Source organism: Homo sapiens, chromosome 3, assembly GCF_000001405.40.
Source record: "Homo sapiens chromosome 3, GRCh38.p14 Primary Assembly".
Lineage (NCBI taxonomy): Eukaryota > Metazoa > Chordata > Mammalia > Primates > Hominidae > Homo > Homo sapiens.
The window spans coordinates 194592236-194607774 of record NC_000003.12 but is presented as its reverse complement, the minus strand read 5'-3'; the positions used below and the strand labels follow the sequence as shown (position 1 = coordinate 194607774).

At 48.1% G+C, this 15539-nt stretch overlaps 1 protein-coding gene and 1 long non-coding RNA gene across 6 annotated transcripts in view; one reads left to right on the top strand and one right to left on the bottom strand.

Moving 5' to 3' along the window:
• The window catches only part of TMEM44 (transmembrane protein 44), a 45742-nt gene that overhangs the window by 25645 nt on the left and 4558 nt on the right, over positions 1-15539 (top strand). For 2 of the 4 annotated variants that reach the window (NM_001011655.3, NM_001166305.2), the window contains one exon: positions 3330-3488. In NM_001011655.3, coding sequence (NP_001011655.1) covers positions 3330-3488 — 159 coding nt within the window. Of the gene's footprint in view, positions 1-3329; positions 3489-14704; positions 14735-15539 lie in introns of all 4 variants that reach the window. The other 2 variants (NM_138399.5, NM_001166306.2) reach the window with 2 other exon arrangements.
• On the bottom strand, positions 776-7139 carry LOC105374291 (uncharacterized). Of its 2 annotated transcripts, XR_007096222.1 has the most exons (4): positions 6928-7139; positions 5468-5730; positions 4513-4658; positions 776-3606 (listed from the first exon to the last, which is right to left on the bottom strand). It is a non-coding gene; the product is annotated as an uncharacterized LOC105374291 (long non-coding RNA). The 2 variants fall into 2 exon arrangements; XR_001741083.2 differs by lacking the exon at positions 6928-7139 and having other exon boundaries at positions 5468-5858.

Sequence of the window (15539 nt, the reverse complement as noted above, 5' to 3'; positions counted from 1 at the left end):
GGGACTTGCCAGGCTCTGAGTAAACAACAGCAGCCAACACTTACGTGGTACTTATGGGCCAGAGTACTGGTCTAAGTGCTTTACACACATTAACTTGCCCCACAGCCGACTCCTGAGTATTATACTCATTTTACAGATAAGGAAACTGGGGGCTGGAGCAGTTAAGTGACCTGCTCAAGGTCACACAGTTTGTCAGTGATAGAACCGGATTCAGACCTGTCTCTACCCGAGTTTGTGCCATTGACCTCTATGCTGTACAGCCTTGTACTTGGCATAATGACACCAAGTAAACACTTGATAAATGGCGATTTATTATTAATAAAATAATACTGTTTACCATGTAAGTGTTAATAAAAATGAGCCCAACAACTGTATGAGGAAGGATCCTAGTGTGTTTTGCATTGCCATAAAGGAACACCTGAGGCTGGGTAATTTAGAAAGAATAGAGGTTTATGTGGCTCGTGGTTCTGCATGTTTACGTGGTGCCAGCATCTGCACTGGTGAGGCCTCAGGCTGCCTCCACTCATGGGGGAAGGCAAAGGCAAGCAGGCTTCACATGGCAGGAGAGAGAGGAAGGGGTGCCAGGCTCTTTCTAACAAGCAGTTCTTGCAGAACAAAGTGAGAGCTCACTTACCAGAAGGGCCCTTCCACCAGGATCCAGACACCTCCCACCAGGCCCCACTTCCAACACTGGGATCACATTTCAACATGAGACACGCTGGGGCCAAACAAACCACATCCAAACCATAGCAGAGAGATACTATTATTATTTCTATTTTGTTTTATTTTTATTTTTTCTTTTATTCTTTCCTTTTTTTTTTTGAGGCAGAGTCTCGCTCTGTCGCCCAGGCTGGAGTGCAGTGGCACAATCACGGCTCACTGTGACCCACACCTCCTGTGTTCAAGAGATTCTCGATTCTCATGCCTCAGCCTCCCAAATAACTGAGACTATGGGCATATGCCACCATGCTTGGCTATTTTGTGTGTGTGTATTTTTAGTAGAGAAGGGGTTTCGCCATGTTGTCCAGGCTGTTCTCAAACTCCTGACCTCAAGTGATCCGCCTGCCTCGGCCTCCCAAAGTGCTGGGATTACAGGTGTGAGCCACCGTGCCTGGCCTGTATCTATTATTATTATTTTATTAACAATTAATAATGTTATTTTAAATTGAGGCACAGAGAGGTTAAGTAACTTGCCCAAGATCCTACAGTTAGAAAAATCACAGAAAGAGGATTCAAACTAAGCCTGCCCGATTCAGGGACCTGGGCTTTTATGAAGAGAATATGCTCTCTGTGCTGCCGCTTTGTACCTGCTCGGTTAGCAGTTTTAAACACTGTTGTAATGTGAATATCCCAATGGGCAAGACTGTGGGGAAACAGGCACCCTGTTGGCCGTGTCCACTGATACATATCCCATTAGAAGGGCCATCTGGAAATGGGTAAGGAGAGCTGCAGAGGTGCTCCCTTGTTTTCCCAGCAAGCCCCCTGAGCACTGGTCCTAAGGAGCGATTTTCCAGGAGACGCAGCGGGAGCAGCACTGTGGTTCAGGCTGAGCCTCCAGAGGGGCAGAGGGGTCCCATGGGGCCATATGGATCAAATCCTGCATCCTCGGCTTGGAGTGTTTGAAAATTCTGTTTTATCTTTTGACGCAGGTGTGGTCAGGCCTTGGGCATTTATAGAATTTGTCATTGTTGTTCCTGGGAGGCATCTGCTTCCCCACTCCCATCCAGAGCCTTCTGTTTCAGCATCCTTCCCAGCTGGGAAGCAGGGTGGCCCCTCACCTGTGTTCCTGCTTCCAGAATGCTGCCTTTGTTTCTCTTGTGGATTTTCTCTGCCAGTCCACCTGACTCTGACAGGAGCTTGTGCACCTAACCCATCAAGGGCTGAAGCCCCGCTGGATTTGGGTCGAGTACTCATAGCCATTCTCCTCATGTGTCCCAGGCATTTACATCTGAGCCCCATGACACCCCCTCACTGGAGGCAAAGCAGGGATTATCATCCCCTTTTATAGATGAGGAAACTGAGACTCAGAGAGGACAACTTTCTTTCTTAGGTGATGTGGTTTGGATGTGTCCCCACGCAAATCTCATCTTGAATTCCCACGTGTTGTGGGAGGGACCCAGTGGGAGGTAATTGAATTATGGGGTCAAGTCTTTCCCGTGCTGTTCTCGTGACAGTGAATTAGTCTCACGAGATCTGATGGTTTTATAAAGAGGAGCTCCCCTACACAAGCTCTCTCTTTGCCTGCTGCCATCCATGTAAGACGTGACTTGCTCCTCCTTTGCCTTCTGCCGTGATTGTGAGGCCTCCCCAGCCATGTGGAACTGTAAGTCCATTAAACCTCTTCTTCTTCCCAGTCTTGGGTATGTCTTTGTCAGCAGCATGAAAACAAACTAATACATTAGATCACATGGTTAATTAGTGGAAGATGCTGGTCTGGAAAGCAGGTTGTCTGCTCTGTCACGTGTCAGTGGAATGATGTGAATCCTGCAGGACTTCAAAAGTTCAGCTGGTGGAGCTTTGTAGATCTCTGAGGAGTCCCCATGAGCCCATGGGGGGAAGCTTTGGTCTGAGACAGATAGATAGATTGGTAGATAGACAGATACATAAATAGATACATAGATAGATACATACATAGATAGATACATAGATAGATACATAGATACATAGAAAATCTCACAAGTTTCTTTCTACCTTAAACCTTCCTATTTCATCCCAACTCACTTTCATCCCCTGCTGGTGGGCATGAGGAAGGCCTCTATGGGGTGCGTTTTTAGCAGTAGCTATACAGATTTCAAATGTACATACTCTCTTTAATCCAGCAATTCCGCCTCTGGGAATTTATCCTTTACTCTGAAATCTTGGATGTACAGTGTAATTTACTGCAGTCAGTATTGATTGCAAAAGCAAGAGACTGGAAACACATTAAGCACCCATTAGTAGGGGATGGGTTAATAGACTGGGAACACCTGAAATGCTACCAAAAACCTCCCAAATCTTCTGATACAGAACTATCTCTAAGGCATAGTGTTAGGTGAAAAAAAGCAAGGTGCTTAAGAGAATGGAGTGTGTGCTATCATTTTGGAAATCGGGGGAAATATGTGTACGTGGATTTGGTTGTATGTGTATAGAGTATCTGGAGGGATACACAAGACACAGGGCACTGGCTGCCCTGGGGAGAGCTGGATGGCCAGGGCAGGAGAGCACAGGTAGATGCTGCCCTGCACACCCTTTTGTACATTTTGAACACTGAAGTATGTGAATGCTTTGACAATTCAACCATCAAAACTAAACTACGTGTCCTTGCCTGCCCTTTCTCACACACCTTGCAGGCAGGCTGCAGTGCCACCAGGCTGCCAGGTGACGGGCAGACGAGCGCCGGAGATGCGTCCCTGCAGGACCCCCCGTCGTACCCTCCCGTTCAGGTCATCCGGGCCCGGGTGTCTTCCGGCAGCTCCTCTGAGGTCTCCTCCATCAACTCCGACCTGGAGGTACACGGCTGTTGCCTGCTGGGCGGGTGCGTGGGTGCCATCGTTCGCCGACACTTGCTGGGTGCTCCTTGGGGCTTGTGCAGCTGTTCTCATCTTATCCACGTTAACCTCATACCTGCTAAATAATGAATGAGGCCAGGCGCGGTGGCTCACACCTGTAATTGCAGCACTTGGGGAGCCTGAGGCAGGTGGATCACCTGAGGTCAGGAGTTTGAGACCAGCCTGGCCAACATGGCAAAACCTTATCTCTACTAAAAATACAAAAATTAGCCGGGTGTAGTGGCGGCCACCTGTTATCCCAGCTACCCAGGAGGCGAAGGCAGGAGAATCTCTTGAACCTGGGAGGCAGAGGTTGCAGTGAGCCGAGATTGCGCCATTGCACTTTAGTCTGGGCAACAGAACGAGACTCCGTCTCAAAAAAAACAAAAAAAAAATGAACTTCCGTGGGGCCCCTACCCTGTGTGTCAGTACCAACAAGAGGTTTCCACGGTCACATTAGTCGCAGGGACACTGCATATTGGGGCCCGGTCTTCACCGATCACTTGAGTGATGAATGAATGAACAATACATTTTTTAAAGTCTTGGTGTTGGCTGGGTGTGGTGGCTCACGCCTGTAATCCCAGCACTTTGAGAGGCCAAGGCAGGCAGATCACCTGAGATCAGGAGTTCAAGACCAGCCTGGCCAACATGGAGAAACCCTGTCTCTACTAAAAACACAAAAATTAGCCAGGCGTGGTGGTTCGCACCTGTAATCCCAGCTACTTGGGAGGCTGAGGCATGAGAATCACTTGAACCCGGGAGGTGGAAATTACAGTGAGCCAAGATCATGCCACTGCACTCCAGCTTAGCCAACAGAGCGAGACTCCATCTAAAAAAAAAAAAGTCTCAGTGCTTCTCAAACTGATTTGCCCATGGGAGCTTTTCTCCCCCCGAGGAGCACCAGCTACATCCTGCTGTGTTAGTGGGGCCATACACAAGTGGGCCCTGTCGTGGGCACCACGGCTGACACCTGTATAAACTTTACCTCATTTTGAGCTTTTATGTCTGTGAATAAAACACACGTCACAGCTTGGATCACACACAGGCGTAACTCTCAGGTCTGAGCTGTTCTCTCTCTTGGTCCCACCGCTGTGGTTCCCAGCCCCATTCAGCGAGGAGGTTTCCATCTGTCTGTGGAAAAATGAGAACCACAAGGACAATGTAGCGGCCGCTTGTATGTCAGTAGACAATTGCCAGCTGTCTTTTGGTGCGGGGAGAGGACTGTCTTCCGTTATGAGTTTGTGTCCTCCCAACTGTTTTGGTGTTAAATGCCCTTTTAGGAAAGAATGGTAATAGTAAGCAGTAGTTGGTGTTGAGTTTTTGGTTTGGGTTTTAATTGGCCTTATTTGGCAAAATAATCAATTAGCCATTGTAAGTCCCCTAGATTGGTTGAACTTAAACTGACCCTTGAAATCTGAAACTCAGAACCACTGACTGGGATGAAGTCTGGATTCCTCAGGGTGGCAGTCCAGGCCTTTCACAGCCTGCCCGGCCTCACACACCCCCTCCCCTCACCGGGAGCACTACCTGGCCACGGACTCTTCTCTGGCCCTTTCGCCACAGGTCAGAATCTGACCCAGAGGCTAGCGGCTCCTTCCTCTGAGTGCCCAGAGCACGTACCTTTCTTTCCTTCTTTTTTTTTTTTGAGAAGGAGTTCTCGCTCTGTCACCCAGGCTGGAGTGCAGTGACGCGATCTCAGCTCACTGCAACCTCCGCCTCCCGGGTTCAAGAGATTCTGGTGCCTCAGCCTCCCCAGCAGCTAGGATTACAGGTGCCCACCACCACGCCCGGCTAATTTTTGTATTTTTAGTAAAGATGAGGTTTCACCATGTTGGCCAGGCTGGTCTTGAACTCCTGACCTCAGGTGATCCACCCACCTCGGCCTCCCAAAGTGCTGGGATTACAGGCGTGAGCCACCTCACCCAGCCTAGAGCACATACCTTTCTGACACCACTTCCACTGCTGGCCGTGTGCCCCAGGAGCCACAGCGGCCTGGGTTGCCTTTGCGTCTCTCTGTCCCTGCACCCTGGAGCACAGCTGGCCCCTGAGGGCTGGGTTTGAGTTAGGGACTCTGCATCCTTTGGGTTCATATTCCTGTATCATTCTGTGTTGTGTGGTTCTTGGATCCGGTCTCAGAATTTGTAGGGTACCCAAGGCACGTGGCTGGCAGCCTGGAGCCAGCAGTCTTGGCGGAGATCTAAGGCTAAAGGGGACCGGAGTGAGCATGATGGCAGAGTGCATTCAGTGAGCAGGGACAGTGAAGTTGGTGACTCAGGGATGGCGACGGGGAGGGAGAAGCAACATTTGTTCTGTGGAAACAAGGTTGACTCTTGCCGCCCACCCTCAGTTGAGGTAAGGACTGCACGGTGAACTTGAAAAATTCAGAAATCTGTCCTTATGGCTGATTTGGGCTGTTTTCTTGTTTTTCAGTCTTTGTTCTTTCTCTACTCTTATCTCTCTCTTTTCTAGAAATCGATTGTTAAAAATATGTAAATTCCGGCCAGGCACAGTGGCTCATGCCTGTAATCCTAGCACTTTTTGGGAGGCAGAGGCGGGTGGATCACCTGAGGTCAGAAGTTTGAGACCAGCCTGGCGAACGTGGCGAAACCCCGTCTCTACTAAAAATACAAAAATTAGCCTGGCATGGCCAGGCGGGGTGGCTCACGCCTGTAATCCCAGTACTTTGGGAGGCCAAGGTGGGCGGATCATCTGAGATCGGAGTTCGAGACCAGCCTGACCAACATGGAGAAACCCAGTCTCTACTAAAAATATAAAATTAGCCAGGCGTGGTGGCGCATGCCTGTAATCCCAGCTACTTGGGAGGCTGAGGCGGGAGAATTGCTTGAACCCAGGAGGCGGAGGTTTCGGTAAGCAGAGATCATGCCATTGCACTCCAGCCTGGGCAGCGAGAGCGAAACTCCATCTCAAAAAAAAAAAAGAAAATTAGCCAGGCGTGGTGGCGGGTGCCTGTAATCCCAGCTACTACTGGGCAGGAGAATCGTTTGAACCCGGAGGGGCGGAGATTGCAGTGAGCCGAGATCACGCCACTTCACTCCAGGCTGGGTGAAAGAGTGAAACTCCACCTCAAAAAAAAAAAACAAACAAGTAAATTCCAAGAAGACAGGGTCACATACTTAAATTAAGCAAGTGGAAATGAACGCTTTTGCCCATGCAAAAGGAATATATTTTTAGAAGTTCAGCAGCTGCAGCCTCCCTCCGCATAACCCTCACCCACCTCCCACCACAGTCTTCCTCCTTCATGCCCTAAAACATACAGATAATACAAATGACAAAGCCGCTGAGGTCCTGTAAAGAGATAGCTTAATACCAAACTCAACATAGATAATAGCAGGTCAAACAGGATTGTAAAGTTTCAAATATAGACTGAATATAGACTTACAACAAATGAGCAAGAAATCTTTTTTCAGGTGTGTGATCCCCTGGTCCTTCTGGTAATCTATATTTTCTGTTCTTCTTCTTCTTCTTTTTTTTCTTTTTGAGACGGAGTCTTGCTCTGTCACCAGGCTGGAGTGCCGTGGCGCAGTCTCGGCTCACTGCAATCTCCGCCTCCCAGGTTCAAGCGATTCCCCTGCCTCAGCCTCCTGAGTATCTGGGACTATAGGCATGCACCACCATGCCTGGCTAATTTTTTTTTAATATTTTAGTAGAGATGAGGTTTCACCATGTTGGCCAAGATGGTCACGATCTCCTGACCTCGTGACCTGCCCACCTCAGCCTCCCAAAGTGCTGGGATTACAGGCGTGAGCCACCTTGCCCAGCCTATTTTCTGTTCTTAAAAGTAATAAATGTTTCTGGGCTGGGCATGGTGGCTCACGCCTGTAATCCCAGCACTTTAGGAGGCAGAGACAGGCCGAGACAGGTGGATTGCCTGAGCTCAGGAGTTCAAGACCAGCCTGGACAACATGGTGAAACCCTGTCTCTACTAAAAATACAAACCCCGTCTCTACTGAAAATAAAAATTTTAAAAATTAGCTTGGCGTAGTGGTACAAGCCCATAGTCCCAGCTACTTGGGAGACTGAGGTGGGAAGATTGCTTGAGCCCGGAAGGCGGAGGTTGCAGTGAGCTGAGATTGTGCCACTGCACTCCAGCCTGGGCATCAGAGTGAGACCCTGTCTGAAAACAAAACAAAACAAAAATAAATGTTTTGGTAGAAAATTTGGAAAAGGGGCTGGGCTTGGTGGCTCACACCTGTAATCCCAGCACTTTGGGAGGCTGAGGCGGGTGGATTACCTGAGGTCAGGAGTTCAAGACCAGCCTGAACAACATGGTCAAACCCCATCTCAACTAAAAATACAAAAATTAGCCGGGTATGGTGGCGCATGCCTGTAATCCCAGCTACTCGGGAGGCTGAGATAGGAGAATCACTTGAACTCGGGAGGCGGAGGTTGCAGTGAGCCGAGATCGAGCCATTGCACTCTAGCCTGGGCAACAAGAGCAAAACTGCATCTCAAAAAAATAACCCAAGAAACAAAAATTAGCCAGGCGCAGTGGCACGTGCCTGTAATCCCAGCTACTCAGGAGGCTGAGGCAGGAGAATCACTTGAACCCGGGAGGCGGAGGTTGCAGTGAGTCAAGATCAAGCCACCGCATTCCAGCCTGGACAATAGAACGAGACTCTGTCTCAAAAAAAAAAAAAAAAGAAAAGAAAAAGAAAATGAAAAGAAAATTTGCGAAGTGTAAAAAATGTGAAGAAGAAAATTGAAATTAACCCTCAAGCCTACCAACCAATGGCCGCCTCCAGGTGGTGAGGTTGGGCCGGCCTGACATGCCCCCCTATTTGCTTGAAGCAATATTCCTTGAAGATCCTGGTTCGTCTGCGGCCGAAGGTGGGCGAGGCGGTGTCTTTGAGCAGGTGAAGTGTCACCACACTTCGCCTGGCTGTTGGATCACTCATGCAGCGCACATTTTCTGCCAGTGGGATTTTGAAGGAAACATCCGTGAGGGACCAATAGACTGGCCCCAGCCCACCGCATAGGGTGGCAGGCACTTGGTAAACCAGTCACAGTTGAGAGTCTGGTCCCCCGCCTTACTCTTCCGGACCATACCCTGGAGAGACAGAGCATAAGATTGATGTCAGGGCCTTACGTCCTCACTTCCTCTGGTTCGTGACTTCTTTTGCTCCCAAGAGAATTGCATAATTCAAATATTTCATGGCGTTGGGCTCAGACCACCCAGGGTGTCTGTCTCTGCTCTTGGACTGCCCCTGGCCTGGCTGCCAAGGCTGGCTGCGGTTCCCTCAGCCACCTCCCGTTGTCTGTCTGTTACTCACCAACTCGGCTTCCGTTTGATCCCTTGGGTTGATGAGTGAACGCTCTCTGACTCCCACTGTCGGGGCCTGTGGGCCTGGGAGCCACTCTGTGTCTTTAAGGTGACGTGTTTACCTTATCTATGGTCCTTTCTGATTTGGCACCTTAACTCTGGGATGCGGTGGTGGTTTTATGTCCAAGTTCTTGGGGCATGGACCGACTGTTTTGAATACTTCTTGCGGTACGCTAGGGGAAGTGGAGAATTGAGTGGTGCCTCAACACGCCGTGGTAACCCCAGCACTCCAGTTCATAAAGTGTTTGAAATCCATTAACAAGAAAAGCGGTGCTCACTGCGAACAGTGACTATGCTAGGCATGGTGTGGGCTATCGCTTCCCAGCACCGTTTGCCTTAACAGCCTGAGTCAGGAGACTGGGACTAGGTAAGTTTAAGTCACTTACCTAAGAAAACATAATAATGGTGATAAGAAGAAGTGGCAGGGCTGGGGTTTGAACCCAGTTCTGTCTGCTCTGAAGCCTCTCTTTATTAACCACTGCACTCCACTGCCTCGGCAGAGACTGGTACCCGGGAAGGTGTGCAGGAGCATGTTTATTATCCATTATTCCCATTTTACAGACGAGAAAACGGACCCTCTGCCCAGGTGTCTTTTCACTCCAGCTGTGCTCTGACTCTGTTCTCAAGGAGTGTCAGAACAGGAGACGGCTGAGACAGACAGGACCGTGGGCATGTGGGGCTCGCGTGGAGGGAGAACTTGACTGCACTGGTCAGGGTACCAGACGAATCATGTCATGTGGGAGCCTCAGTGTGACCAGTAACTGTGTAGAGAGGGCTTTTTCCTGGGCTGTGCAGATTTCTGTACAACTCCATAGCAGACGGCATACTCCACGGAGACTGTGGATCCATCCATTCATTCATTTACTAGCCCACCCATTCAATACAACGTCAGCCTCACTCCTGGCAAAGCCATCCGAAGGGCACAATGAACAGATGTTGAATAAAGATTCCTGAGCTCAGAGTCCCGTGCCTGGGGTCTACATGTAGGTGACAGAGGCCCAGAGAGAGCAGGACTTATGGGAGTGACCCCTCACTTTCTGGGACAGCCAGAACCTATATTATAAATGCAGGCTTGACTTCCCCCAGCATTGAAACTGCTGAGGATATCCCATTTCACTGTTGTTTTTACCTAAATGGGTCAGGGGTATGTGTGACAGCAGGGACGGGACCAAACACGTATGCTGTGGAAGGCCTGAAGTTCACTGCTCCTGTAGGTTGAATTTATTTTTTTTTCTTTTTTCTTTTTTTTTTTTTTTTGAGACAGAGTCACCCAGGTTTAAGTGCAATGGCGCAATCTCGGCTCAGGGCAACCTCCACCTCCCAGGTCCAAGCGATTCTCCTGCTTTAGCCTCCCAAGTAGCTGGGACTACAGGCACCTGCCACCACACCCAGCTAATTTTTTGTATTTTTAGTAGAGATGGGGTTTCACCATGTTGGCCAGGATGGTCATGAACTCCTGACCTCAGGTCATCCACCTGCCTCAGCCTCCCAAGGTGCTGGGATTACAGGCGGGAGCCACCGTGCCCAGCCTCCTATACCTTTTAAAGGCTTCCTTTTCTTTCTTTCTTTTTCTTTAGCCCCTGGGATTCAAGAAAAGGTTCAGTCCACCTTTGTGACAAAAGTACATTTATAGACAGCATCCAGTCAATTTTTCCCTTCTGTGCTTCCCAGCATTGCAAGAGACGGGGTATAAGCTTTATAGGAATTCTGCAAGGAGGCTGTTTCTGTCATTGGAACAAAGTCTGCATAGTGAAGAACGCCTGTGCCTGGAGCCAGTGCAGTCCTGTGTGGGTGTGCGTGTGCATGTGGGTGTGTGCACGCATGCCCATGTGTGGGTGTACCTGTGTGGGCCATGAGAACAGTGCTAAATGCCAGATTGCTCTGTCTGAAGAGGGCCAAGTCCCAGGCCCGTGTGTTCCTATTAATTCTGTGCCTAAGGCTCTTGATAACCCAACTGCTTGTTCTCTCTCCAAACTTTCTGGCACCAGCAGATAAGGGCATATTCCCCTGGATGTCTGCCCTTTTTAAAGCCAAATCATTCGTTCTGGGAAAAAAGTATGCATGAGAAAGATGCTTCACTGGGCCCCAAAGGGAAACGGGCTGTGCAGGGGAAAGAACCTTGACCCAGGAGTCAGATGCACATAGGGGCTTTTGAGACGGAGTCTTGCAACCTCCGCAACCTCCACCTCCCGGGTTCAAGTGATTTTCCTGCCTCAGCCTCCCGAGTAGCTGAGATTACAGGCATGCGCCACCACGCCTGGCTAATTTTGTATTTTTAGTAGAGATGGGGTTTCTCCCTGTTGGTCAGGCTGGTCTTGAACTCCCGATCTCAGGTGATCTGCCCGCCTCAGCCTCCCAAAGGGCTGGGATTACAGGTGTGAGCCGCCGCACCCAGCACTGAGTCACTTCTTACACACAGAAAAGCTTCCATCAGGAAAACAGAAAAGTAAACCACCAGCAAAATGTGTGAATGAATCTTGGTAGCATAGCAGGGCAGGCTGCTGTCTGCGCAGAAACCACTCTGGAAAACTTCTGTACTCTTAGTCTCTAGAGGCATTTCCAATCCGCCTCCCCAAATCCAGGTAAGAGCCTCGTTACTTCCTCCTGGACTGGGGCAGGAGCTCCTGATTGCGATGCAGGCGCGCTCTGCCTCCTTTCATTTCCGTCCTGCAGGGAATACAGCAGGATTTTCCAACACTCGACCCCAGCCCGATGCTTCCCTGCTTGAGGCCTTCTGGGCGCCTTGCTGCTTACACTTTTAAGCCCAGGCTCCTAAGCCTGAGCTCCAGAACGCCTCCCCATCTGTGCCGTCTTTGCAGGTCCTTCCCCATGCACCCAGCCAGCTTTCTCTTCTCTGCGTTTCTCTGCCTATCTGTCTTCTCCTACCTTTCGCTGTCCTGTCTAAATCCCCCTTCCTCCAGGAAGCCTTTCATGATCCTGAGGAGGGCTGTCAGATATAGCAGGTAAGAAATACAGACCATCAGCCGGGTGCGGTGGCTCACGCTTGTAATCCCAGCACTTTGGGAGGCTGAGGCGGGCAGATCACAAGGTCAGGAGTTTGAGACCAGCCTGACCAACATGGTGAAATCCCATCTCTACTAAAAATACAAAAAATGAGCCTGGCATGGTGGCGCACGCCTGTAATCCCAGCTACTCAGGAGGCTGAGGCAGGAGAATCACCTGGACCCGGGAGGCGGAGGTTGCAGTGAGCTGAGATCACGCCATTGTACTCGAGCCTGGGCAACAGAGTGAGACTCCATCTCAAAAAAAAAAAAAAAAATAGAGAATGAGAACTGAAGCTGGTGTATGTCTGGCCAGTCTTAAAACTTTACAATCCATCCGAAGTCGAGCACCATCTCACCTCCCCAAGACTGTGGAGATGTCACTTCTCCCCAAAGGTAAGAGTAAAGAGTTGGACAAATGGTTTCTGAGGCCCCATCCAGCTTCCACAGTCTAAAATTTAAACCTAGAAAGTGACCCTATTTCCTCAGTAACTTAGACACATCCTAAACTCTTCCAGAATTAAAGAAACATTACTACATGCTATATAGACAAAGGCTATAGGATGCTTCTAGATTTCAGAAGCAAGGAAAAATGTGCTTTTAGACATGAGGCAAATTAAAATGCCGTATGCAGTGGTTTGAGGAGGTGATAGAATCATGTTTCTGAAGATGATTTTAAGGGCAAGTGGAAATGCTCATTGTATGTTAAAGGAGAAAAGCCATTTGCTTTTATTATATTATACATAATACATACATGTTTCAGAGGCATATTTAATCTTTGTAGAGGCCTTCTTCTAAGGATAGAATTTTGGTAGATCTTTGTTTTTTGAAAAATGTTCTATAATGAACACATTTGCTCTTGAAACAGGGAAAAGACTATATAATTTTATTTATTTTTAGGCTGGGGGGTTGAGGAGAGACCTCAGTTACAAAGATTTGGGTTAATTGTACTCCTTAGGCACACTATCATTAGCGGTTTATAAAGTAACTTTAAAAATACTGACTATTCCCACTAGAGGGCGCTCTTCCTAAATTTTAGATTGCCCATAACGCTGAAGATTTAAGCTTTGTAAAGGAAGTTTCAAGGTTTCATTTCAGCACAGCTGGGAGACTCGAGCCTATTTATTTGCTTGTTTGTTTGCTTGGCTTTAAATAAACTTTTTCGCTAAGTTAACTTTTTCAACCCTCCTTTATATCATCGGCATTTCTGTCTTTTCCAGAGTGTGTGGAACCATCAGTTTAGTAATTTGTATCCCTTCCAATTAATCTTTTTTTTTTTTTCAGTTTATGTTCCCTCAGCAGGATAGTGTTAGATGAAGAATGCTAAGGAATTATCACTAATTTTGTTAGGTATAATAATGGCATTGTGCTTAGGTTTTTTTTTTAAGTCCTTATCTATGAGATACATTTTGAAATATTTGTGGATGAAATGATTTACGCCTGGCTGGGAGCAGTGGCTCATGCCTGTAATCCTAGCACTTTGGGAGGCTGAGGCAAGCTGATCACTTGAGGCCAGGAGTTCGAGACCAGCCTGGCCAACATGGTGAAACCCCATCTCTACTAAAAATACAAAATTAGCTGGGCATGGTCCTGGGCGCCTGTAATCCCAGCTACTCAGGAGACTGAGGCAGGAGAATTGCTTGAACCTGGGAGGCAGAGATTGCAGTGAGCCGAGATCGTACCATTACACTCCAGCCTGTGACAAGAGTGAAACTCCATCATACACAGATAGATAGATATAGATAGATAGATAGATAGATAGATAGATAGATAGATAGATAGATAGAAAATTAGGCCAGGTGCTGTGGCTCATGCCTGTAATCCCAGCATTTTGGGTGGCCAGGGTGGGAGGATTGCTTGAGCTCAGGAGTTCAAGACCAGCCTGGGCACCATAGACCTCATCTCCACTAAAAAAATAAAATAAATGTCAGCCAGGCATGGTGGTACACACCTGTAGTCCCAGCTACTCAGGAGTCTGAGGCAGGAAGATCAGTTGAGCCCAGGAGATGGAGGCAGCAGTGGGCTATGACCATGCCACTGCACTACAGCCTGGGCGACAGAGCAAGCCCCTCTCTCAAAAAAATTAATTAATTGATTTTTTTTAATGAAAAATGTTAAGGAGTTGAACATGCTTTTGTTTTAATGTGATAATAACCCTAAATCCTGTGGACTGCTCGGACTGCCTGCTATTTAATTTAATAGACATTCCCAGATCAATGTAACAGATATTCATAGATTCTTAGCTCATGTCAGAAACATATGTTTCCCAGGCGCTGCAGGAGGTGCTGGAGTAACAAGGGCAGACGTGATGCCTGCCCTGCAAGAACTTGAGTCAGACATATTTGAGGTTTGGAGTGGAACCAACCATGCAGTAAACACTGACTACAAATGAATCTTGGCTGGTAGCAAATACCCCATATTTGCAAGGCAGGAATTTTATTGGCATCTCAGTTTTATGGGTTTGAGTTGAATCATCTCAGCCATGTGGTTAATAAATGGGAGATTTATTATTATTACTGCTACTCCTCCTAATAATAATAATAATTTCTACTAATAGTAATTTTTAAATCTTGATAGATTGTAATTTTTCCCAGGACGTGCAGCCCTTCATAATTATCATAACTATCTCATTGATCATTTAACTAAATTGTAACTGCTAGTAGCTGCTGCCTTCCTGCTTGCTGAAGTCACCTGTTCCTTTGCCCCCAACCATCTAAGGGCCTGTCTCCTGGCTCACTGAGCAGACAGGAGCTGGTCCTGAGCTCTGCTCTGCTGTGGGATGGTGGCAAAATCTGTCCAACACTTTTTCTGTCTCTCTTTTTATTCTGCAGCAGAAGTATTGGGAGGCCCTAAACTCGGAGCAGGTATGGACGATCATGCTCTTTCTCTTCCAGGAGGGACTTCCTATGGCTTGATTTCAGTTCCTGTTTTTGTTAGACCTTGTTAGATGGCTAGACCCATGACAAATTCCTTCAGTAAAAAAAGAATGTCAGGCCAGGCGCGGTGGCTCACACCTGTAATCCTAGCACTTTGGGAGGCCGAGGTGGGCGATCACCTGAGGTCAGGAGTTCAAGACCAGCCTGGCCAACATGGTGAAACCCTGTCTCTACTAAAGATACAAAATTAGCCGGGCATGGTGTCACATGCCTGTAATCCCAGCTACTCAGGGGCTGAGGCAAGTGAATCGCTTGAACCTGGGAGATGAAGGTTGCAGTGAGCCGAGATTGCACCATTGCACTCCAGCCTGGGCAACAAGAGTGAAACTCCATCTCAAAAAAAAAAAAGTCAAAATGAGAGGCAAGACTGAGGATGAATGGGATTTTCAGGGCTCTCTCAGGTCAGAGTTCTTTCTGCTTTGGGGGTATTCAGGTAAGCCCAAGTAATAGGGACTCCAAGAAGACGTGTAACCCAGTGAAGAAACATGGTTTGGAACAACAGTAGTAGTGGCCGGCATGGCTGCAGTAGCTGTTGCAATAAACAGTTCCAGACATTGTCATTCTGGGACCCTGGGCAGCTGGCTGCTGTCTCCATGCCACCCTTGCCTCCAAGTGACAGGCATGTTTTGTGACAACTACCTGTGCCTGTCATCTCCCAGGATTGTTTCTGATATGAAAATGGATCTTTTGCTCAGATTCTCTTCATGCCTGGTTTCCAGCAATGATTTTTTTT